Source organism: Homo sapiens, chromosome X (assembly GCF_000001405.40).
Source record: "Homo sapiens chromosome X, GRCh38.p14 Primary Assembly".
In the NCBI taxonomy this organism is placed as follows: Eukaryota; Metazoa; Chordata; class Mammalia; order Primates; family Hominidae; genus Homo; species Homo sapiens.
In genome coordinates this window covers 39415773-39441950 of record NC_000023.11, presented here as the reverse complement: position 1 = coordinate 39441950, position 26178 = coordinate 39415773, and the positions used below count along the sequence as shown (strand labels likewise).

Genomic DNA, 26178 nt, shown 5'->3' with positions numbered 1-26178 from the left:
GAGGGATTGAGCCCCAGCTGCCCACAGGGGTAATGTCCTCATTAACACCTCTTTTATTTGCTTCCCTCACTTCCCTGCCTCACTTCCCTGATTCCTTGCTGTGCTTCCTGGGATCACCTCCCAGTCAAACCACCTGCATCTAAGTCCTTTATGAGATACCTAACCTGATGCAGAAGGGGACACCAGGTTTTTCTGATGATACTGAGAGATGCTTCTGCGACCTTGGACAAGGGCTGCCAGATGTACAAATAAATACAGGACTCCCATTTACATGTGAATTTTAGATAAACAACAGATACATTTTTAGTGTAAGTTCTGTGCAATATTGGGGGCATACTTACACTAAAAATTGTTGTTTGGGCATATTTATACTAAAAAATCATTGTTTATTGGAAATCCAAATTTACCTGGGCATCTTGTATTTTCTCTGGCAACCTGAATCATGGCTGGAAAGAAGGGTGAACTAATTAGGAAACTGGAAATGATTACAAAGTCCTGGATTTTGTGTCATTCTGGACTGGATAAGGCAGATTTGTGAGCCTTTTAACCTTTATCATACCTAATCTGGGAGTGGTTTGCACCCCATCATCCTCTTGGGCACCCTATACAGCTAACTGCATGTGAGGACAGTCGGGGAGAAACATCACTCAAGGAGGTTAAGGAAATGACCACAACCCAGGGGTCTGTTCCCTGAGGTGAAAACCCTAGTGGCCTTCAAGGCTGTAGTCATACATTTCCCAGGTAGCCTTAGAAGGAGTAGCAGTACAGAGTGCCAACAGCAGAAAATGGAAAGTCTTAATCACATTCCTTTCTTTGGCTACCATCAGCATGACAGCAGTAAAATTGTGTTTCAGCAGCAGGGGGCCCAGCCAACCTGCTACTGGTCACTTCCCCACAGGGCCTGGGACTGAGGACTGCATGAGTGCTGGATACTAACTCCATGCCTCACCTTACTCTAAGCATGTCACAGAGATTAGCACATTTAATACAGCAACAACTCAAGGAGAGAGGTAGAACCTCAGATGAGGAAACTGAAGCACATTAAATCACTCAGCTCTGAGATGGGAGATCTGGCATCCAGACCCAAGCAGTGTGACATGGGTGATGTCACTTCTAGTCACTGTAACACACTCCTCAGAACTGTTCCTGGGACCATGAAATAGTGCATGTAAAGGACCCAGCCCAAAGTCACTGCCCAGGTGGAGTCTGAAGGTGTCCATTCCAGATATCGTCATTATTTTAATATTACTCTTATCCCCATCTTCTCTTGAGCCCTGAAAATGGCAGTCAGCCCTAGTGATGGTGACTGTAGAGAGACCAGGCTGGTCTGTCTTCCCGAGGGCTGCTGGGCAGCCCAGATAAACTTTTCAATCCCTTAATCCCCTTCACCGAGACTGCAGTCACCTCCTGCCTCCATCTTGCAGGCCATGAGTTTATCGCACAGTCAGAAATAGCTGCCAGGTCCCCTGGAAAACAAGCCTGCAAAAGAAGCCTGTGAAGCACAAGCTCCAGGCAGGAGCAAACCAAACAACAACCTGCACTGCGGTCAGGCAAAAAAGCCCCTCTGTGTTTGTTATCAATGCTGACCGGGTGCTGGGATGGTTTTGGTTTTGGTTTTCTTTTAACAGTGGCTTAGCTGTTTTTATAAGAGCTGAATTCTGATGCTAGGCCAGGCAGCTAAAGTAGAATCCACCCAATATTCCCCCTCCTTTTACAACTAGCCATAGGGAAGTCCTGAATTTGGGCTCCAGATCTCCCAGCTTTCAGGATACACTCATCTGGCCTCTGCCTTGCCCTCATCTTAAGTCCTAGAGTGTTGCTAACAGGGGCAAGATAAGGACACCGACAGGGTGGGCGCCTCTATATGCTGTCGGTGCCCCGCCCTGTTCCCTCAGCCTGTTCAGGCTGACTCCTAACTGCCAGTGTGTGTGTCTCTTTGCCTGATGGCTTTCTAGAAACTGTGGACCACCACACTGCCCGTGCACATGAAAGAATTACATGACTATTGCAAGCTAGTGTATAAACAGCCCAGCTCCATGAATGAGATAACTTGGATAAGGTTGTGCGTTCTCCACCAGTGCTACTTGAAGTGTGGTCTCCAGGCCCTTGACAAGCTGTGAAATGTTTATTGCTTGTACATTTCAAGGTACATACACAAATGGAAAGTTGGCGTTTACGAACGTTTATAGCAATTTGACATTGCTGTGACATTTTAATTGTATTTTTACAAAAGTATCCACTTATAATGGATTGATAACAACAGCAGACAACCTGGTACTTTCCCCAGACAGCTTGAGAAGCACTGGTCTCTCTAGTTCCTAGTTTCCCCAGTGGGATTAAACTCCAGTTGCCCACCGTGCCAGCCAACTTGATAATGCACCTTTGACTGGCTCCCTTTCGTTACCTGTCTCATTTTCCTACTCCGCTACCAGTGTTTCTTGCATTTCTCAAATAAACTATTTGCATTCATTTCTTTGTTTTGGGGTCGGCTTCTGGGGCAACCCAAACTCAGACACCCTCCCTTGTAAAAGGCTGCCCACGCTGCCATCTGCTGCCTGGGGCATGTCACTGGTGGCTCCTTCATTTTTTCCCCAAGGAATTAGGTAGCCCATTAAGGATGATAAATTTATCTGCCCACCTCTGCATTTCTTCCAGCATCCATGGCCTAAGGTCATGAAGTCACTGCCCTCGGCGTTCTTTGCTTTTTCAGAATGACACACTGGCTGGAGCTGACAGAAAACACACTTTCAGACAGTTGGCAGCCAAGAATCATCAATATTCTGCTTAATATTGAATGCCCCCCACTGCCTTTCTAAGATGGGCTCTTACAGGGCAATGTGGCTTCAAGATAAAGGTCTGAAGCATGCCCTGGGCAGCAGATAGTGGCATGGGTAGCCTTATACAAGAAAGGGTGTTTGACTTTGGGTTGCCCCAGAGGCCAAAGTTGAAACAAAATTTATAGGCTAGAAGGGCCAGTTAGAAAAACCTGTTCTTTTTCGGAAGTCACTTTTGCATGTACGTGGAATGCTTTTGTTCAGATATAAAGCACCCAGGCTCAGTCTGTTATGCCCTGAATCATTTTCTTGTGGCTCAGGGCCTCCCTTGACTTGAGTGCTATTATCCCTCTGCCTGTTAGACCATGCTCTCTATCTCTGGGCTTGCTCCTTGGTTGTTTACAGATTTCTCAATCTGTCTGCTCAGGCTGAAAGAGACCCCACCGCCCATAAAAACTCTGTGGTTCTAAATCATTTCTCTCTCTCTTTCACTCAACTCAGTCCCCAAAACTCCCAGAGCCCGGAATTAAAACCATCTTGAAATCCAAATTTGTACTTCTCCATCTAGCAAAGTAATTTTACCTTTGGCTTTTTGGGGGTGTTTATGTCGGTACTTCAGACATCCCTGTTGGCCACCAGTCCTCAGTGCTTGCCCTACTCTAGTGGTCTGGAGTAGAATGATTCTCTTGAAGCTTTTTACATATTTTGCAAATAATGTCTGTCCTCCCGGCTCGGCCAGGCTGGAGTCAGCAGGCCACCTGCACAAGCATGCACACTGGCTCTTAGGAACGTGTTCAGTTCTGGGGTAGGGGCTTGCTGGCACTAATGTACATCCATTTAGAAATCCCTCAATGAGAATGTGAGTGAGTCTAGCACCGTTTCAGGGACTGTGGCCAAGGGTTGTAGCTGTTTCAGTCTGGCTGGGGGAAAAATGAACTATGATCAGTAAGAGCTACTGAGAGGCAGAATAGGAGGAGGGGCAGAGGTCAGACTCTGGGGCTGATTGCCTGAGTTCAAATTCTGGCTTTGTGTGACTTTGACAAGTAATCTAACTTCTCTGGGCTTCACGTTCTTCAACTATAAAAGGGTGATAGTAGGAGCCCCTATCTTAAGGGATTGTCTTGATGATTTCACGAGTTAATCTAAATTAGTTTTCAATGCCTCAAAACGTTAGCTGTACTATTACTATTAATACTACGACTGCTCTGTGATATTAAATAGAAGTGATACACAGAAAATAGGAGTTAAGGTGGACTTTGGTAATCAGAGAAGGCTTCCTGGAGGAGGAGGCTTGATCTAGGCAAGGAAAGTTGGGTAGGATTCTATGAATTGTGGTCAGAGGTCAGACTAACAGACTATTTTCCAAAGACGACAGCCAGCAATATCCCTTGAGCCACAGACTCTTCTATAAGGTGTCCTTGACCCTCCTCCCATTGAGAGGTGGGGGTCTATGTCCCTTCTTGAATATGGAGTGGTCGGTTTATGACTGCTTCAATCAATAGAATCCAAGGGAAATGATGCTGAGACTGGACCATAAAATGGCCATGCAGCTTCCCCCTTATTTGCTAAATCACTTGCATAGGAGGCCCATGAGCTCTGAGCTGCTATGTAAGAAGCCTAACTATTCTGAGGCCACCATGCTGTGAGGAAGCCCAAGCTATGTGGACTTCCTTCTGTAGGTGTCTGCCTGGCAGTCTTTGAGTCCTCCCAACCCAGGAATCAGACATGGGACTAGGAACCCTCAGGTGATTCCAGATTGCACTCCCCAGCTGCAAGTCATCCTTAGGCTTGAGTCTTCCCAGATGAGGCTTCAAACATCCTATAGCAGAAATAAACCATCTTTGCCATGCCATGTCTGAATTTCTGACCCACAGAATCTCTGAGCATAATAAAATGATTGTTGTTTTAAGCCACTACGTTTTTGAAGGTGATTAGTTACCCACCTGCTTGTTATATGCAGTGAAAAGGCAGCTCTAATGGCAGGGCTGGCATGAGCAAAGTCACTGAAGAGAGCACAGTGAGAATTCTGAGGGTAAGGACAGCAAGGAAAGAGGGCAGCAGTGGGGCCCATGTCCTGTTCCTTCCCACCCCTACGCAACATCATCTCATCATCCTACAGTAGGTAAACATGATGGAAGGTGATTCATGATAGTTCATGAAAACATCTGTGCAAATTTTAAAACATCAACTCTGGTTCAATTCATTCTCTGACAGGGTGAAAGTTCAAAGAATATTGCAATAAATAACATGAAATGCGTATTGATAGGGTTTGGCTGTGTCCCCACCAAAATCTCAACTTGAATTTTATCTCCCAGAATTCCCACTTGTTGTGGGAGGGACCCAGGGGGAGGTAATTGAATCATGGGTGCCGGTCTCTCCCATGCTATTCTTGTGATAGTGACTAAGTCTCATGAGATCTAATGGGTTTATCAGGGGTTTCCGCTTTTGCTTCTTCCTCATTTTCTCTTGCCACTGCAATGTAAGAAGAGCCTTTCACCTCCCACCATGATTCTGAGGACTCCCCAGCCATGTGGAACTATAAGTCCAATTAAACCTTTTTTTGTTCCCAGTTTCGGGTATGCCTTTATCAGCAGCATGAAAACAGACTAATACAGTACATTGGTACCCATAGAGTAGGGCATTGCTGAAAAGATAGCCGAAAATGTGGAAGCTGGGTAACAGGCAGAGGTTGGAACAGTTTGAAGGGCTCAGAAGAAGACAGGAAAATATGGGAAAGTTTGGAACCTCCTAGACACTCATTGAATGGCTTTGCCCAATATGTTGATAGTAATATGAACAATAAGGTCCAGGCTAAGGTGGCCTCAGATGGAGATCAGGAACTTGTTGGGAACTCAAGCAAAAGTGACTCTTGTTATATTTTAGCAAAGAGACTGGAGACATTTTGCCCTTGCCCTAAAGATCTGTGGAATTTTGAACTTGAGAAAGATGATTTACAGTAACTGGTGGAAGAAATTTCTAAGCAGCAAAACATTCAAAAGGTGACTTGGGTGCTGTTAAAAGCACTCAATTTTAAAAAGGAAACAGCATAAAAGTTCAAAAAATTTGCAGCCCAACAATGCAGTAGAAAAGAAAAACCCATTTTTTTGAGGAGCAATTCAAGCTGTCTGCAGAAATTTGCATAAGTAGCAAGGAGCCTAATGTTAATCCCCAAGACCATAGGAAAAATGTCTCCAGGCCATGTCAGAGACCTTCACAGCAGCCCCTCCTATCACAGGCCCAGAGGCCCAGGAGGAAAATGTGGTTTTATGAGCCAGGTCCAGGGTCTCAATGCTGTGTGCAGCCTAGGGACTTAGTGCCCTGTGTCCCAGCCCCAGCTCCAGAGGATGGAAGCCCCAAGCCTTGGCAGTTTCCACAAGGTGTTGAACCTGTGAGTGCACAGAAGTCAAGAATTGGGGTTTGGGAACCTCTGCCTAGATTTCAGAAGATGTATGGAAATACCTGGATGCCCAGATAAAAGTTTGCTGCAGGAGCAGGGTCCTCACGGAGAATGTATGCTAGTGCAGTGCAGAAGGGAAATGTGGGGTTGTGGGGTCAGAGCCCCCACACAGAGTCCCTACTGGGGCACTGCCTAGTGGTGCTGTGAGAAGAGGGCCACCGTCCTCCAGACCCCAGAATGGTAAATCCACCAACAGCTTTCACTTTGTGCCTGGAAAAGCCACAGACACTCAACACCAGCCTGTGAAAGCAGCCAGGAGAGAGGCTGTACCCTGCAAAGCCACAGTGGGGGAGCTGCCCACGACCATGGGAACACACCTCTTGCATCAGCGTGACCTGGATGGGAGACTGGAGTCAAAGCAAATCATTTTGGAGCTTTAAAATTTGACTGCCCCACTGGATTTCAGACTTGCATGGGCCCTGTAACCCCTTTATTTTGGCCAAGTTCTCCCATTTAGAATGGCTATATTTACCCAATACCTGTACCTTCATTGTATCTAAGAAGTAACTAGCTTGCTTTTGATTTTACAGCCTCATAGGTAGAAGGAACTTGCCTTGTCTCAGATGAGACTTGGGACTGGACTATTGGGTTAATGCTGACATGAGTTAAGATGTTGGAGGACTGTTGGAAAGGCATGATTGGTTTGGAAACGTGAGGACATGAGATTTGGAGGGGCCAGGGGTGGAATGATATGGTTTGGCTGTGTCCCCACCAAAATCTCAACTTGAATTGTATTTCTCCGAATTCCCACATGTTGTGGGAGGGACCCAGGGGGAGGTAACTGAATCATGGAAGCTGGTCTTTCCCATGCTATTCTGGTGATAGTGACTAAGTCTCATGAAATCCAATGGGTTTATCAGCAGTTTCTGCTTTTGCTTCTTCCTCATTTTCTCTTGCTGCCATCATGTAAGAAGAGCCTTTCACCTCCCGCCGTGATTCTGAGGCTTCCCCAGCCACGTGGAACTGTAAGTCCAATTAAACCTTTATTTTGTTCCCAGTTTCAGGTATGCCTTTATTAGCAGCATGAAAATCAACTAATACACATATGAAATAAACTAAAAGACCTTGAGGACTGATACTTAAGGGAACCCATCTCTCTCAGGGAGTCAATAGTTTGTCTTTGGGTCAAAGTGTAGAAGTCAATCTTCTTGGGTTCAAAGTCTGCCCCTGTCACTAATACCTGTGTGACTATGGACAGATTACTTAACCTCTCTGAGCTTTTTGTCACACTGTATATTGGTGATGGGTAGAGATATGGGGGCTGCAAGCAAGGGCTGTGGAACAGCATCCTTAAGATTCATAGAAGACATTTTGTCTACATGAGATGATCTAAAAGACATTGCATTCTATCTATTGAAATCTCAACAGAGGGTCTTATGGCAGTCCCCTTGATCTGACTGTACTCTGAGTCCATGTTTTACTGGCAGCCTGGAGGCCACTTATTACTTTGACAGTATTTTGCCAGGAAAGATCAGGGATTAAAAAGTTTTATATTTAAGCCCAACAAGTCCTGGCTCCTTTACATTTTGTCTAAATTCTGCATATAAACTGAATAGTTCTTTCCTTAGCTCTTCTTTACTCTCCTGTACTTTATTGCTATTCATCTGTTGTTTAAATTGCTAGTGACTGGTGGTAGAGATTTTAGATAGAGTGGTGATATGGTTTGGCTGTGTCTCCACCCAAATCTCATCTTGATTTGTGACTCCCATAATCCCCATGTGTTGTGGGAGAAACCTGGTGGGACATAATTGAATCATGGGGGCGATTTCCCCCATACTGTTCTTGTGGTAGTGACTAAGTCTCACGAGATCTGATGGTTTTATAAGGGGTTTCCCTTTTTGCTTGGCTTTCATTTTCTCTCTTGTCTGCCGCCATGTAAGACGTACCTTTTGCCTTCCACCATGATCGTGAGGCCTCCCCAGCCACGTGGAACTGTGAGTCCATTAAACCTCTTTTTCTTTATAAATTACCTGGTCTCACATATGTCTTTATCAGCAGCATGAAAACGGAAGAATACAAGTGGAAAGGAGAATGGAATTGCAGCAAAAGGGAGTAACCATGCTGAGTTGGGACCTATTAAATCAATAGGTATGAAATTGTGATACACAGGCCATCAGCTTTAGCATCATCTCTGGTACTTGTTAAAAATCCATATTCCCAGGCCTCTGGTCAGACCTGCTGAGTCAGAAGGGGCTATGAGGGAGGAATCTGCATTTTATGGACATGCATAAGTCCACTAAATGTAAAGACATTGCCTTCCATCAGGCTTTGCAGTTACCCACTTTTTTTCACTTGTGCCCAGACTCTAGTCCTAGGATTGGTCTCTCTACTTCCTTTTTAGTCCCCTGTATGGCTCTAAGTCTGGACAGCAAACAGATGGCTCACTCAAATAGAGTATGCCTTTAATAAAAAGGTGCCAACCTAGGAGAGTGCAGTACCCCAGGCTAAGTAACAGTGGGGAGTTGTCACCACCAGGAGGAAGGGGAGCTATAAGTTATCTGAGCTTGGAGAACCTCAACACCATTTGGCCTATTTCCTGAAGAGTTCTTTTAATGCCCCTGGGTTGTTTAGTGGGAAGGTCCTATGCAGGGGCTCTTAGGCTATGGAGTGGGATCTTTGTGCAGTGGGGCCAGGTGGGGGATGAAGAATCCAGCTCTTTAACAGGTGGCCCCAGGGGACTGCGTGGCCCAAATTGTCCTCAGTCTCTCTTGTTGCTGCCTTTTCATGATTTTTCTGTCTTTTGGCAGCCCTGGAGGCCCTCCTATCTAGGCAGGAAGGGAAGCCAATAAATAAATTCACACTACGGTGCTAGAGAGTGATAACAGCTAATCCCTTCCAAGGACAATTGCTCTTGGAGAAAAATGATGGCTCATAGAAAAAAAGAACGGTTTAACTAGAAAGAAAGGGTGTCTCCTGGAAGAATACCACACTTTGGCACTGGAGTAGGAGCAATTTATAGGCAGCCACATCTTAAACTTTTCAAAGCAGCCCCTCTTCTGTTCTGTGAATCTGATGTTAAGCATGTTCCCTAAGAGGCTTTCCAATGCGTCCTACTCATGGAAGCTCCATGAGGGAAGGGATATCTTGGTCTCTTTTGTTCACTGATAAATTCCTATAACCTGCCACATAGTGGTGCTCTGTTATGTGTTTGCGAATGAATGAAGGAAGGAAGGAATAGATGAAACATCTCTTCAGGAACCTGGCTCCTGTCTCAAGTGAGACACACGTAGTGCCTCCCCTCTCCTTGTGGCCTGCCTGGGATTGAGCTGAAAAATGATTTTCATACACGTTGCCCTTATTATAACATCATCCCTCAGAGCGAAGCTCTCTGACCACCCTGAAGACCTGTATTTAATGTGATGAAAGGTGATTTAATGGAGTTGAGGAGAGCGAAGCATAAAGTGGACAGCCATTTCAGAAAAGCAAAGCAGTCTGTCCCTCCAAGGGGAAAGGGAAAAAAAAGGAAAAAAGAGGAAAAAATTCAACACCCTCCCCCAGAAGAGAGTGGAATAAGAAGACGTTTTGGTCAGCTCCATAGGAAGGCAAAAATGAAAGCCAGATAAGCCCAGAGGCCTCCCCTCCCTGGCAGCAGATAACTAACTTACCATTTATTTACCTTGGAGCTGATTATGTACTGGGTTGAGGCAGGCAGGGAGATTTTATTGACATTTGGTCTCCCTTCACACATTTTTGCGACAGCCAGACATCAGGGACTGAGCTGCAGGATATTAAAGGATTTGGAAAAGTTATCAAGGAATGGGACATATTTATCAAAGCCACAGTGATATTAGAAAGCTGGGCTGCTGCTACACCTGGGTCTGTTACTTGATTAAAAAAATAATAATGATTCATCCTCTGGCTGGCTTTTGCACCTGGGTGAATGCTGAGCAGTTCTGTAGGACCACCCTTGGCCAGGGATTTGCACATAAAGACCCTCTTTGGGCCTGGCAAAGATTGTAGGTGATAGATCACACTAGTGGCTGGGGGGTTTGTGCCTGCACCCATGCATGTGCACGTGTGATAAAGTCTTGTGTTTGTCAGGAAGCTTCTATTGGTGTGTTACCAGACCTCCCTGGGCCAGGCCAGTTTACATGATGGTCTTCAAATATGCCTGTGTACTCGGAGTATCTTTTATTTCTAAAAGATAACTAGTAAGAGTTTGTTGAGTGACCGAAGGATTGGTGCAAAAGGGGCCTCATGAAGGATCCCTAACCTGCCTCAACCACTGCATTTCTGGTGAATAGCAATTATGTAATACAAGGAATCTCCATCTTTTAACACCAGCAAGTAAGAATATCTCACAAGTCACCTCTACTTAGCTCTCCCCCCAATTTTTCCACATGAATTATTCAGCGTATGACTGTTTCAATATGTCTGTCTTTGAAAAAAGTGCTGGATGAACTTAAAGCAGCAAGAGGAAGTGCCTGCTTTGCAAAAACGATACCCACCTGCATATTTATCTTAAAAGGAAAGCCTTTAATGCATTCACTCAGGTGAAAATATCATGGATAGCAAGGACTGACCAATGGCCATCAGGATCCATGGGGTTAATCCGGGTTTTGCCATCTGATTCCAATCCATCAGGCCTGGCTATAAATTGCTTATATGTCTGGGTGATAAAAAGCAAATACAAATTTTCAAAAAGTTTAACCTTGCATGGTATATAAAGAGAATACATAATATTCTCAAGCATAAATATGTCTCAAGACAAACTCATTGCATATACCCAGAATACATAATGGAGCTTACTGAGACATATTTTCCCCCTAGCAAGAAAAAGCCAGAAATTCTGCAGTAAACTGTGTAGTTTCTGCAACTCAGAAATGGGACCTATGCCTCTAACTCTTGATATCCTTCTAAAATGGCACGAAGTCCAGCTGAGGGAGAGGATGAAATCTGGCTGAAGCTGGAGGATGGGAGACCTGGGACTCCAGCTGGCTTCTTGGGGAGCTTGGCTAAAATCATTTCACGTGATTGATTTCCAATTTCTGCATCTGGAAATAGAGGAGGCTGATCCAGAAACTGACGGTTTCTAAGGCGGTGCTTCTCAAAATCTACTGGACAGGCAAATCCCCTGGGAATCTTGACAAAATGCAGATTCTGATTGGGTAGGTCTGGGACGGGGCTTGGAATATGGAATTCTCCTTTTCTTTTCTTTTTTTCTTTCTTTCTTTCTTTCTTTTTTTTTTTTTTTGAGACGGAGTCTTGCTCTGTCACCCAGGCTGGAGTGCCCTGGCACCATCTCAGCTCGGCTCACTGCAACCTCCGTTTCCTGGATTCAAGCGATTCTCCTGCCTCAGCCTCCCTAGTAGCTGGGATTACAGGTGCACTCCACCATGCCCAGCTAATTTTTGTATTTTTAGCAGAGATGGGGTTTTGCCATGTTGGCCATGCTGGCCTCGAACTTCTGACCTCAGGTGATCCGCCTGCCTTGGCCTCCCAAAGTGCTGGGATTACAGGTGTGAGCGGAATTCTCCATTTCTAGTATGCTGCCTGGTGATGCCGATGCTTGCTGGTCTGATCTGAGAACCACACCTTGGGTAACAGGGTTCTAGCGTTCTCCCCAGATCAGATGGACTCAGGCAGTGACTCTCACCCTTGGCTTCACATTGCAATCGCCTGGGAAGCTTTAAAAAAATGTCATTGCCCAGACCACATCTCAGGCTGATTAAATCGGAATAATCTTTGGGGATGTGACCCAGGCAAAAATATGTTTTAAAGCTCCCCAGGTGGTTCCAAGGTGTGGCCAAGGTTTAGTAGAACTGGTTGAAGGTACCACATGGCTGCACAGACTTTGATGGAGCCAGCTGTCTTGAGGTTTGTGGTATTATCACCCGTACTTGTGATAATCCAATAAATGGAGCAGATACTATTTACTGACATGGTAGTCTACACTGTGCAATGGTGTCATAGAATCATGGCCTCCTCCCTAAACAGGTGAGGATGCTAACTGAGCCTGTTTGTCCAGGAGACCAAGGCTGATGGGTTCCATGAACTTCTACAGGTAATGGGATGACAAAGTGAAACATTTTTTCTTTGTAATGCTTCTTACCAAAGGCCAGATTAGAGGTTGCCAATGCAGATGCATACAAGGGCTGGGTGGGCAGCAGAAACCATAAATCAGAGCTAAATGTTTGCATATTTAAATATACAAGTGTATCCTCTGAGAATTTCACTCTTTCACATTTCCTAAAACTCATGGCTGTCTTTTCCTTTATTTTCCTGTGTTTGACAGAGACATGAGTACAAGAAAAATGTGTATCTACTCTAAGAAATATAGTAGAGCAAGTGCAGGAGTGGAGCCAGGTTTATGTGGGACCTGAGGTTTGTACAAATTGGGGGACCTCTTTAAAAACTGCAAAATACTTTTAATTTTGGAAATTCACAAAATTTTATAACTGTGAAAAGATATTGCTATCTGTGCCTGAGGATGTGGAACAGGGTCCATATAGTGAGGGGATCTGAGGTTTAAGCTTCATTAGCTTCATGGGAAATCCACCTCTGGTACAAGTGGGAGGTAAAAGGCAACACAGGTGGAATTTTAACATACAGTACTGTACTGTGTACCTTAGACCAAAACTACAGTAAAAACAAAAACACACTGATAAAATGGCTGCAAAAGTTTAATGCAAATAATTCCATGGAACAGACGAGACCTTTAATGATGTTGAACTGTGACAGCAGCCATGAGTAAGACACAGGTGTACTAGACCCTTGATACTCAAAGTGTGGTCCACGGATCAGCAAGAGCAATAGCATCACTTGGGAGCTGGTTAGATGTGTACAATCTCAGGCCCTAGCCTAGATCTACACAGCCGGAACCTGTGCCCCTATCTGACAGGTGTGCACATTAGATGTCGAGGGAATATTGATGATGATTTCGAGAACATAAGAGAAGAAAAGAAGGAAGGTAGCTATGTGTCAGTTTATTAGTTCATTTGTTTGTTCACTCATTCATTCCTTTATGCTTTCAATCAATATGTATTCTTGGAGTGCTTCCTTTATGCCAGGAACTGTGATATGCTAGTTACATGGGATTAGGAAAGAGACTCGCAATACTCTTTTATAAGCTGGCTTTTCCAATCCCCACATTTTTCTTTCCCTATTTCCCCCAACCCCAGAAGGATATCTTTACACATGCAGCATGATGGGTAGTGCATGACATTTGGTCCAAACAGAAACTGACTTGTTGGACTGCAAACAGCTAATGGCTGTGTGTGCTGAATGCCTTAAAGAGCCTGGCACAGTATGTGGGGCTGAGGTGGTGCTGAGTGGACCTCCCTCGAAGTTCATTAAAACTAGACAACGGGAGCGACCTTTTGAGATAGGTTTTTGAGTCAAAGGGAATGACTGCCTTACAATGTCAGCCCTAGGTTTCTACCCTGGCTTTCGGCTTCTAGATAACTCCCCACTACTTAATTCTTTGCCTTGAAATGCAGAGGAATGAGGGTTAAGGGTTTGGGCTCTGGCACCTGATTGCTTGAGGTTTAGGATTGCAGTTCCACCATCCACTGGATTTGGGACTGTGGGGAAGTTAGAGCAATTCTCCATCCTCTTTGCTTTAACGTGCATGTGGTAATAATACTTAGTGGTGATGTGAGTCGCAGCGAGGTCATGCACAGAGCATAGAGAAAGTGAGCCCCATGGTAAACATGAGCTGCTGCTAGGGCCATATCAGTCACTTGCAAGTTAGTATGAGTTAGATCTTACAGGAAAGCATTGATCAGGGTGAGGGGAGAGGGGTGAAGCTATAGGGGAAGGGTCCTGAGATAGATGAAAGGGCCAACTCCCTGCCAGCAGCACACTTTAGAGAGGGGCTGGCGCAGAGAGCAGGGTGTGAGGTGCCCTTTGCAAATGTGAGGAAGAAATAGCAATGTGCAGAATTTTAAGGGCTAAAAGCTGTGCTGGTTACCTTCTGGCGAAGGCCAGCTTCTGACGCATTTGTTCCTAGCTGGCTCTGTGTTTATGCAATAAGACATCAAACTTGTGTCCTCTCATTAACCCTTTGTTTCTTCTTTGTTCCTGATTTAGAACCCCCCACACTCTGATTATTTTTAGAGCCGTGAGAAGTCAGAAGTCACTTCTGTTTACAGAGGCCTGCTGCCTTCAAAGGCACGAAGGGAGTGCTAACAGCTCTCTCCTCACCCCCTGCCCCGCCCTTTGCAATACATTCTGGGGCGCTTTGCTCAAAGGAAGAAAAATCACAAAGGAAAGCAATCTTTTCTTTCTCTTAGATGTTTACTTTCTGCATTTCTCCTGACCTGAGTGGGTTTAAAAAACATACACACACACTTTTATGCTTCCCCTGCAAAGTGGGGAGGAACCAGGCAGACTCCAACATGAGTCAGTGTTTGTGAAGCCTTTGCATTCTACCCTTCCCTCACCACCTTCTAGTTTTCCTTCTACCTTCTCCCCAGCACACCAAATTGGTAGCCTCCAAACCAAGGCCAGAGGGCCTAGAGCAGCCATCTGTATTAGGGGTACCCTTCAGTGGACAATTCCCACCAGATCCTAAGCCCCCTAGTTTGAAGAGCCATGGCCATAGTATTTCCTTATTTCCGCGCCTAGAAATTTCTGCTTTAGTACTGTAGAATGAAGGAGCTTAGAAATTCTGTAATCTAACCGCCCCATTCCCCCAATGAGGATTCCAAGGCCCAGAGAGTGGAGAGGCTTTTCCTAGGATACAAAGCATGACAGTGTCACTGTGGTTCCTGGTCCCCACAGGGCCCTTCCCCACAGGGCCTTTCCCATAGAACATAAGGTTTATAAGTATTAACCCTATATATGCAAATTATGTTGGAGGCCTTTTCCCAACGTATTTTTGTTCTTTCCCAACGTATTTTTGTTCTTTCCCATTGTTTATGGATTCCTCTGCGATGGTTTAAAAATTATGTAGTTATGCTTATATTCAATGATTAGCCTATTTCTCTTCCCCATGCAAAGGTTTTGGATTTGCACCTCTTTCCCATGCAGTGGTCTTCCACATGGTTTTAATGTTGCCTCTGAAGGGTAGTAGAATATGCCACTCACAAATATGCCACTTTGGGATATGCCACAGTGGCATATTTGGGTTATCCTCAAGGATCCCCCAGGTGTTACTAAATAAAGCTGCTTTGAGCACACAGGGAGCCAGGACAAGTAACAGGACTGATCAGGGTGTGTGAATTAATACTACTTAGAGAGAACATAGGGGCAAGTGTCTGTTCTGGTGTATGGTCAGTTACCCTAGACACTAGTGTCCAGGCTCCTCTGCCATTTTATGTTCAGAGAAGTAGTATTGCATGCTCTGCTGAAATTGTGGCCATGCTGGGTACACATCCGCATGGTTCGATGTGACCAGAAGATTCTGTCACTTCTTTTTATTGTGATGTGTTTACACAGCACCAGGGTAGGGCCCCAGAAATAATAGTCCTACAGTTCTGAGATCATCTATGTGAAAAGACACACACACACACACACACACACACACTCACACACGTGCCTTTGAGTACACAATGCTCCTGTTCACATCCGCACATACCAGCATAGAGCTCACATGGATGATGACATCGCAACTGCCACACCACTGGGTATTCTTTTCCCGCCTATCCACATGCATGTAATTTGTGCAGGGAAATCTGTCTCCTCTAGATTTGGGGATCAATGTCACAAAATGTCAGTCTCTGAAAGGGAATGTGGTAAAAAACCTGCCTGGTATGCATGGCGTTAGCTATCTGTAGAATCTTCTCCGAGCTGACCAATGTCATAGGCACCATTGCAAGTGCTTTCCATATCAGGACTCTTTTAAGCTGAGCTGTTTTCTGCTATAGTAGCTTTGTGATCTTTGGGAAGAAACTTAAATCTCTGTACCTCAGTTTTCTCACTTGTAAAATGACAGTAATCTTACCCACCTCTTGATATTGTATGTGTATGGTGGGGGATTCACATAGAATAATAAGACAGTGTGAAGACACTCAAATTACATCTGGCCAAGGAAAGGACAACAACAAATATTAGTTCTTTCTTCTCTTTCTGATGAGTTAAGAATGTTTACAAGTATGTTGCTAGGATAATATGGTGGATTCCCCACCTTACTATCTCAATAGTTAGCTATGTGACTTTGGGCATGTCACTTTATCTGTGTCTCAGTTTCATTCATTCATTCAGGCAGGCAGGCACTAAACACTTATGGAGTGTCTACTAAGGGCCAGTCATTGTTTTAGGTGCTGAGGAAACAGCAATGAACAAAACAGACACAATTTTGGCCCTCATGGAGTATATAAAGGAATCGGATGAATTATAAAACAATCAAATATATCTTTCAACAGAAAATAGGCAGTCTTCATAGAGTCTAAAATGTTAGAATGTGTCAGTCTTAATCTATCTAAAAGGGTGCTGAAGTCTGTTCAATTCTCTGTGCTATGATTCATGTTTCCAAGGTATATCTGTTAGGAATCTTTTGATTTTAAATGTCAGAAGACTCAACTCAAACCAACTTAAACCACAAGAGAATTGGCTCACATAACTGAAAAAAAAGTTGAGCAGAAATGTTGTTTTCAGGCACAGTTTGACCCAGCAGCACAAAAATCGTGCTACCAAAAACCTGGTTTCTCTTTATCTCTTTTCTCTGTATTATTCCATTTTGACTACAATTACACATGGTGGCCCCCACTTGTCCAAAGTACCTCATTATGATAACCAAATGCTACCCAGCACCAGATCTTAAAGCACGTTCACATCACACTACCCACGGGCTTTCTCAGAAGTCCCACCAAATTGCTTCTCACAGTTGACCCCAACCCTGAGTGTGGAAGGGATGTCTACCTCCACACTCCAGTATGGTTATACTGGAAAATGGGGAAGCAATCCCCCAAGGGAAAAATCAGGATCATTTTGCTTGTAAGGGTTGAGAAAAGCTGGAGAAACAACCCAAGCTGGTGTATTAGTGCATTCTCACACTGCTATAAAGACATACTGAGACTGGGTAATTTATAAAGAAAAGGCATTTAATGGGCTCATGATTCCACAGGATGTACAGGATGCATGCCTGGGGAGGCCTCAGGAAACATACAATTATGGCAGAAGGCGAATGGGAAGAAGGCACACCTACATGGCAGGAGCAGGAGGAATAGAGTGAAGGGAGAAGTGCTATACACTTTCAAACAACCAGATCTTGTGAAAACTCACTCACTATCACACTGACATGAGAACTTCAAGGGGGAAATCCACCCCCTTGATCCAATCAATCACCTCCCACCAGTTTCCTCCCCCAACATTAGCGAATACAATTCAACATGAGATTTGGGTGGGGACACAGAGCCAAACTATATTGGCTGGAATGTCCCACAGGAAGCCTAAGAACATGCCCAGATCACAAACAAAGCAGGAGAAACAAAGATGATTTTTAAAAGAAGCAATTTTATTTTTAACGTATATATTTAAAAGCATTAACTTTATCATAATGGGAAAACTCGGAACATTATTTTCATTGTAATTGTTTCATAGTTGAGCACTATTTTTATTGTGAATAGCACATGGGATTGCGTACAGCACACTATAATCTTTTCAGTGCTTGAAGGTGCCTAAAATCTTAATACAACCCTCTGGGCAATCAACAAAGTACACCTCCTCCAGCTGCAGCCATGACTTCCAGCATAGTGTTCTGTGTTCCTTGAGGGGCAGAATCACTGGAAAGGGGTAGGAATGAGTAAAGTGGTCTTTGGTTTTATCTATCTGCAGGTTCTTATGAGTTTGGTTAATGTGGGTCAGTCCTGCCAAGGCTGATGATCCCTGAGAGAACTGAAAGTGTGGATTTCTGGGCCAATCAGGATGAGGCCCAGGCCTCCACCAAGGAGATCACAGGCAGATACAGACCCTGAGAGAGCTGTCCCTCCCTCTCTCCTCAGCACTCTCTTGATGGCCACAGGACTCCTACTTAACTCAGTCAAAATGAGGCTCAATAGAAGAAAGTCTAGAAGGGAATACAACCAGCCATTAGCAATGGTTATCTTTGAGTGCAGAGATATAGTGATTTTTAGTCATTTATTCCGCAAATATCTATTGACAGCCTACATTGTATCAGACACTTTTCTAGACACCGTGACTATAGCAGAGTACAAAGCATAAATAAACCACCTGCCTTCATAGAGCTCACATTCGAGTGAAAGAAGACAGATAATAAACCAAATAAATAAGCAAAATCTATAGTATGACAGAGATAAGACTAGGAAGAAAAAGAGATCTGGGGAAATGAATGGGGAATTGGAAGAAGAGTGAGATTGCAAATTTAATTAAGTGTCCAGTGAAGACTTCACCAGGAAGGTGGCATTTGAATAAAGGCATGAAAAACACTCAGGAGTGGGCTATGTGGCTGTTTAAGGGAAGAGTGCTCCAGTCAGGGGAGAGGACCAGTGCAAAGGCCTTGAGGCAGGCTATGCCAGGCATGGTCCAGGGGCAGCAAAGAGACCAGTGCAGCTGGGACAGATCTTTGGTGGGAGCAGGAGAGTAATAGATGAAGCCAGAGGTGAGGAAGAGTGGGGGCAGACTGTGAGACTGCACAGGACCTCGTAAGGACTTCAGCTTTTGCACCAAGATGGGGAGTATTGGAGAGTTATGGGCAAGGAGTGCCTCTATCTGGTTTAGGGTTTAAAGAATCCCTCTGGCTGCTCTGTTGAGGATGGACTATGTATCAGCAAGGGAGGAACAGACTGATTGGGCCATTGTAAAAGCAGATACAATGACAGTTTGGCTAGGGTGGCAGTGGTGGAGGTGGAAAGAAGGAGTCATGTTCTGGATAGATTTCCTTTATTCATGTTTCACTATTTTCTATAGTTCCCCCAATGAAAGTGTAGGAAAGAAGACAAGTGAAAGCTACATGCATTAATTAATTGGGGTGCACGGTGAGTTGCTGATATGGTTTGGCTCTATGTCCCCACACAAATCTCATGTTGAATTGTAATTCCCAATGTTGGAGGTGGGGCCTGGTGGGAGGTGATTGAATCATGGGGGTTGTTTCTAATGGTTTAGCACCATCCCCTAGTGCTGTCTTGAGACAGAGTGCTCATGAGATCTGGTTGTTTAAAAGTGTGTAGCATTTCTCCCTTCTTTTGCTCTCTCCTGTACCGCCATGTGAAGATGTGCCTGCTTTCCCTTTTTCCCCTTTGCCTTCTGCCATGATTGTAAGTTTCCTGAGGCCTCCCCAGCCATGCTTCCTGTACAGCCTGCAGAACTGTGAGTCAATTAACCCTCTTTTCTTCATAAATCACCCAGTCTCGGGTAGTTCTTTTATTTTATTTTATTTTTATTTATTTATTTTTTTGACAGAGTCTTGCTGTGTCGCCAGGCTGGAGTGCAGTGGTGCCATCTCAGCTCACTGCAACTTCCATCTCCCGGGTTCAAGCCATTCCCCTGGCTCAGCCTATCGAGTAGCTGGGACTACAGGTGCGTTCCATCACGCCCAGCTAATTTTTTGTATTTTAGTAGAGATGGGGTTTCGGCATGTTGGCCAAGATGGTCTTGATCTCCTGACCTCGTGATCCACCTGCCTCAGCCTCCCAAAGTGCTGGGATTACAGGGGTGAGCCACCGAGCCTGGCCTCAGGTAGTTCTTCACAGCAATGAGAGAATGGACTAATGCAGTTGCTATAAGTCTCATTTGCTATAAGTCTCATTGCTGTTGTGAGCATGGAGACAGCTCTATCCTGGAGCCCTGGGCTTGGGGCACCCAGAGAAGACAGGAGGGCTTCATACCAAGGGTGGCCTTCCCAGCACCACATCCAGCCCTCCTGCTCACTGCAGGGCAGCTGTGACACATTCATCCAATGAAAGGGTCACCAGGGGAAGGTCACCATTGAGCAGAAGGTGAGATGGGGGCTGGGTCTCTCACAGTGCCTCCTTTCTCCAGCCTCCTCAGCAGAGACTATAGGGCCAGGAGGAGGTGACGTGGTGGCAACTCAGACCTAGTCCCACTGATCACATGATGCTGGGGAGCACTGAATGGTTGTTGGAGCATCTGGACCTATGACAGGACCTTGTGACTTAGCCCTAGGAGGGCTGTGCCCATGCTTCTGCCCCTTTGCCTGTCGATGATGGAGAACTGTCCAGTGATCGCCTGCACAGAGGTCGGTCTGCCATCCTCTTGCAAGATTAATGCCTGTAGTCCCACTCTCTGCTGCAGGTGCTGTCCTCTATAGGAGCCACTGGCCACATATGGCTTTTTAAATTGAAATATAAATTAAGAGTAAATAGAACGAAACAATCAGTTTCTCAGTCCTACTGGCCACATTTCAAGTGTTCAGTAGGGACCTGCGGCTGGGAGGCCACTATATCGAGTAGCACAGATCTAGACCATTTCCATTATCATAGAAAGTTTTGTTGTATAGTGCTGAGTTAGAGGATGGGACAGGCTGTTTGACATTTACTTGCTGATGCTCACAGTAAACTGGCCACCCCAGGGGTAAGGCTTGTGGGGTGGGGCAGTGTGCCATCAGAGAATTCTACTCGATGCCTGCCTCTTCATTCCTCCACAGCCTTCATGGTTCACCTCAAATGTCACTTCCTCTGTGAATGACTCACTCCATTCCTGGGATCCCATGACACTCACAAACACAAATAACATACTATTCCATGCTTGGAATTATGCAGAATCATGTATGTTGCAGTCTGCCCCCATGTGACCGTCAAGTCTTTCGATGGCAGTGACTGTGCCTTATTTAGCTGTGTATAGCCAAAGCTTGTGGATGCTCAATAAATATCTGTCGCATTACATGTCACAGAGCCCATTCTCCCTCCATGAGTGTGTGTTCGCACAGGTCACTTAACCTGTCTGAGCTCCAGCTGTATTGGCGTTAAAATGTAGGTGCCTGGGACTGGTTATATTATTGAGACATGCAGTGAAAACCATGCATAAGATTGGCAGAAGCTTCTTTGGGTGTGATGTAATAGAAAATAGATCTTGGTAACAGGCATGTTTCTTCCACTCACCAGCTGTGTGACCTTGACCAATGTACCCAACAGCTCTGAGCCTTTCAATTCCCACTTGTGACAAGGAAGTGAGGAGAGTTATTGTGGAAGTGGTGCTGGGAACAGGGCCTGGAATATTATGGGGGCTTACTACCCATTAAAACCTAACCTATTTGCAGATAAAACCACAATCTCTGGAAACACGGGTTGGCGGTCCTGGGAGAGCCCAGGGCAGGGCTTGGAGCTGGAACTCCCCCCAGCACATGGCAGTCTGCCTCCGCGAGTTGTTCTTCTCAATGCACCTGATGGTGGTGGTGAGCATAATTCATCCTTGCTCACGGTTAATGGCTGGTGACATTTTGAAGATGGCTGCCTGGCTTTGGCTTTGCGGGCAGCAGGGGAATTTAAAAATGCCCAATTGATGTCAGGTTCCAAGAAATACAAAATAGAATTGCACACAGCACCTGAGAGCAGACACAGTCACGAGAGTGAGATGAAGGCTCTCAGATTCCCCCGCAACCCCCTGACCTTGCCCCCAGTGACTGAGAGTTGGTGGCCAGAGGGGGTCATCTGTCCTACCTGTTTGGACATGCTGAAATGGTGGACCAATTTACCATGGACAGAAGCATTTCGTGGGGACTTGGGGATTAAAATTCCACATGTCTGGAATCGATATTCTATGCTGGTGTTATAATTCACTTTTTGAGAGAGGACGCAGCTCTCCGAATTCTTGGGTGAAGTAAATCACATATCTATGGGATTAAGGGGATTCCCCTGCTTATAAATCGCACCCAGCAGTGGGTGGGTAGATGGTGTGGAGGAGGATGGTGGGGGAGGGGCAGAGGAATGGAGTCTCTGAGTCCCACTGGAGACCCTCGATCACAGCATTTCACGGGAGGCCAGCACGCCAGAGTGAGCATCAGACCGGTGTGATTTTTCTGATGGGAATGACACAAAAAGGTGGACTGGAGTACTTGGGTTGGCAGAAGCAGCCAGAAATGACTTTAAAGTCAGGCAGGCTGTTTAGGTAAGCACCATAAACAGCTGGGCCCCTTTCTGACACCAACATTAGCTACCGCATCTTAAAAGAAAACAACATGGACAGATTTACAGGATATTTTTTTTCCCCTTAGACTTGCTACTGAGTGTGTGTCTCTGCTCATTTTGTTCTGCTTTGCGGGGACAAATTCGGATCAATGACCTTGAATGTATCAGGCTCTTTCACATGGGGCAGAGCCAATTTGGACTGACTCCCAGCTAGTGTCCTTCACCCTTTCCCCTTCCTCAGAGGCCCTCCCAGACACTTTTTCCTTTGGGGAGAGAAACCCTGGCAGAAGCTCTTAAGAGCTGGCAGGAGGCCCGTGTCCCCAGCAGGATCACTGGAGCTTCCTTGGACTACAAGTCCAGGGAGGGCCAAGACTGGAAGTGAAATGCATTTCTTGTTGTCAGCCTGTTCCCTAATGGGTAACAGTTGATGTCGCAGAATCAGCCTGATGATTTGGCATGATTAGAAGGCGCCGCTTCTTAGGCGGGCCTGGGGATCATGGCTTGAGTGTGGAATTAGCTCTCAGCGCCCCAGGGAGGGATCCAAATCCCGCTAGAGAGAAGCCCCCACTCCCGCTAAGGAAGCAGAGGTAATAACTAATAACCTTCCCTCCGCCCCGCCTTCCCCTAACCTTGTCGTGAACCGTGGTTGTTTTGTTCAAAGAAGTGCTCGTGCAACCAGGCTCACTTTAATGAAAAGCAGACCCTTGCTCACCGTTGCCCCTCCTTGGGCAACAGAGATAAAAACCTAATGGCATGTCAGATCCTTGATGGCAAACTCGCCAGGAAAACAAAATTATCAGGGTAGAGCGGAGGCAGCGGACCGTATCTGCTTTTGTACCATAAAATAACATAACCCGATGACCCCCTCATTTGCTGAAGGGGCACCCGGCTGGAAACACGGAGGCCTCTCACAAAAGTTCCCGCTGCCTGTCACGGCCACGAGTCGGCTTCGAAACAACCTTGCTCCCAGCTCTCTTTTCTTCCCCTCCCCTCAGGCATCTCGGCCTTCATTTCGAATTTCCAAGGCACAAGCCCTTGATGACAACACGTTTATTACCATACAAATTGTGAGACTCTTGACAGGAAAAAGTCCTCAGACGGTTTCCTGTGCAGACACACACACCCACCCACACACACTCTATTCCACACTGAAAAACAAAATTCCCAAACTATCTCTATCAGATAACAATGTCAAAAAGTCCCTTACCTAACAAGTCACTGAAAGACTGTCTTGACAATTCATACAATGACGTTTAATTGCATCCAAGAGATGTTTTGAAACAATGTCAGAAGTTGAAGAATGGTGAAAGTCCTTTAAGAACAACACTCTTGTCAGAAGAGCATAGTGACCTCAAGGAAACTTTCCTGAGTCATGAGCCTGGCTGCCATGGCTACTTCTCTCTTTCTTCTTCTCTCCCTCCTTCCACCTGTCACAAACATTTATAGAGCATATATCATGAGCCAAGGTCCACGATAGGTTCTGGAGAAACACCCTTAAGCAAGACAGGAATGATCCCTGACTAATTTCTGACCACTCATCTGTAGCAGAGCTGCTTCTTGCCCCCCAACATCCAATATCACTTTCTTTCTCAATAATAAGATCCCCAATTTTTAGCTAGGCATGTGGGTCTCCATAACAAAAAATACATGTCCCAGCCTCCCTTTCAGCAAGGTGCAATCATGGGACTAAGTTCTAACTAATGGGATGTAAGCAGAAGTATTGTGTGACATTTCCAGGAAATGTTATTAAAGCAAGGGAAGCGTATAATTTCCTCCATCTTCCTCCTTGTGGGTTGGAATGTGGATATGATGGCTAGAATTCAAGCAGCCATATTTTACCATGAGGTAGAAGTCATGAATGGCTAATGGTAGAAGAGCAAGATAGAGCCTTCAATTGTAGAATCACTTTGGAAAACTGGTAATCTCCTACAAAATTAAACATGTACCTATACTATACTCAGCAATTCTACTCCCACTCATTACCCAAGAGAAATGAAAACCTATTTCCACACACAGATTTGCACACAAATGTTGGTAACAAATTTTTTTCCTAATAATCCCAAACTGGATAAAATCTAAATGTCCCTCAACAGGTGAATAAACAAATTATGGTGTATTCATACCATGGAAGACTAATAAGCAATAAAAAAGAACTACTGATACAGCAACATCAGTAAATCCCAAAAGCATTATATTGAGTGAAAGAAGCCAGAAACAAAGGAATAGCTACTGTATGACTCCATTTATATGGAATTCTAGAGCAGGCAAATCCATTCCCTGGTGATAAATGTCAAATCACTTGGAGAGGGGCACAAGGAAACTTCTGAGCTGATGGAAATGTTCTCTTTTGGTTGGGCAGTTAATTACATGGTGCAAACATTTGTCAAAATTCATCAGGATCTGTGTATTTCACCGCATGCAAATTATACAATAGTAATGACAATGATATTGATAACAATAATAGCCTGGTCCTTTCGACTTTGTCATGCCACCTTTTCAGCCCTCAACCGTCCACCTCTGAACCTGATTTATTATGAGAGAAAGAAACTTCAGCCAGTCTTCTTTGGCATTTTCTATCACTTTTAGCTAATCCTGTCTTGACAGCACTACATCTTCTCCATGCCAGTCACCGGTCATGCAGCTGACTCCTCCCTCTGCTCTGAATGGTAAAGTCCACAAGGGAGTAGGTCCCAGGAGCTATGACACAGGTGGAATTTGACAACAAGGTTAATCCAAGTGCTGCAGTTTTGAAAAGTCTCACTCCAGCCCTTGTTTCAGGATTTCCCCAGCCTGAACACACAGCCAAGTCTCCTCACTCATTCTCAGCCCACCCAGGAGAGTAGAGCATTGCAGAGTCCGTGCCCTCACACCTGGCAGCCCATTTGGCAAGCAGGATCCCACCTTGTGAGGTTCACTTTGGTCACCCGATTATTCTTGAATGCCGGTACCAGGACTATTCTTAGCACACCGTCAATCCCCAGGAGACTCTGAAGATGCACGTGGCTGAGTAACAGCTGCATCGCGGCTATTACCAATGCCATTATCATCATCATTATTGCAGAGATTCAGCTTTTGTGGTATGCCAATCAGGGGACGTTTGGGGGCCTTTTCCATAATTGGAAGAACCAGTCCAGGGCACGCGTGGGTTTCCATTCAGAGTGGGTGTGACCTCACGGGAAGCATACTTTCTTGTACATAGCTGGGGCTGGCATTTCTTGTCCAGTAGGCAACTGCCTGTGTGGAGGGATTTCAGGTTGATCTTCTGTCCTTCTCTCCTATCTTGCCCAGTCCTGCCACCTCTGTCCCACCAAGTAGTCCCCTCACCAGCAACCACAAATTCTACAATTAGGGATTCATTCCTTTGACTTTACATTTTCTCTGCCATTAAAATGCAAATCCTCCTGCCAGCTTTCCAAGAATTGTATTTTATTTCTTTTTTTCTCATTTTTCCCTTTTAAAATAAGGAGGTAGAATACATAAAGGGCCTCATGAGAGGGTATTATTGTGGAAGGAAGAGCATGAAGAAAAGGGAGATGGGGCAAGGTCAGTGAGGACAAAACAACAAGAATGGCGAGTACTTCCTGTGTTTCCAGCATGCCCTGGGTTTCGGCTCACATGATGTTATGAGAGTGACCCTCTTCTGAAGTTTTCTTTAACAAACGCTTGGTGCCTACTATACACCCAGGCACTGTCGCAACAGCTGTATGAAACTTAACTCATTTCATTCTCATGTTAACTCCAAGAGGTGAGTTTATTAGTATCCACAGATTACAGAGAAGGAAACTGAGGCACAGAGAGATTAAGTAACTTGCTCAAGGTCACATGGCTGGTATGTAGCAGAGCTGGGATCCCAATCCCTGCCACCTTGCTGCAGAGGCTGTGCTCATAAGAATTTTTATGTAACTTTATGTAACTATAAAAGAGCAGGTTATTGCTCTGCCATCATTGGATGGTCTCAATT

At 45.1% G+C, this 26178-nt stretch overlaps 1 long non-coding RNA gene across 1 annotated transcript in view, besides 2 other annotated features; it reads left to right on the top strand.

Moving 5' to 3' along the window:
• Nucleotides 1259-1308: an enhancer, noted in NCBI's record as "active region_29526". NCBI's record gives its function as "activates an Ori minimal core promoter by ATAC-STARR-seq in GM12878 lymphoblastoid cells {active_cell/tissue: GM12878}" and the evidence as "EXISTENCE:reporter gene assay evidence [ECO:0000049][PMID:35858748]".
• Nucleotides 1399-1678: an enhancer, noted in NCBI's record as "active region_29525". NCBI's record gives its function as "activates an Ori minimal core promoter by ATAC-STARR-seq in GM12878 lymphoblastoid cells {active_cell/tissue: GM12878}" and the evidence as "EXISTENCE:reporter gene assay evidence [ECO:0000049][PMID:35858748]".
• The window catches only part of LINC01283 (long intergenic non-protein coding RNA 1283), a 33586-nt gene continuing 14521 nt past the window's right edge, over nt 7114-26178 (top strand). The window contains exon 1 of the long non-coding RNA NR_186823.1: nt 7114-7196. This is a non-coding gene — a long non-coding RNA (long intergenic non-protein coding RNA 1283). The remainder of the gene's footprint in view (nt 7197-26178) is intronic.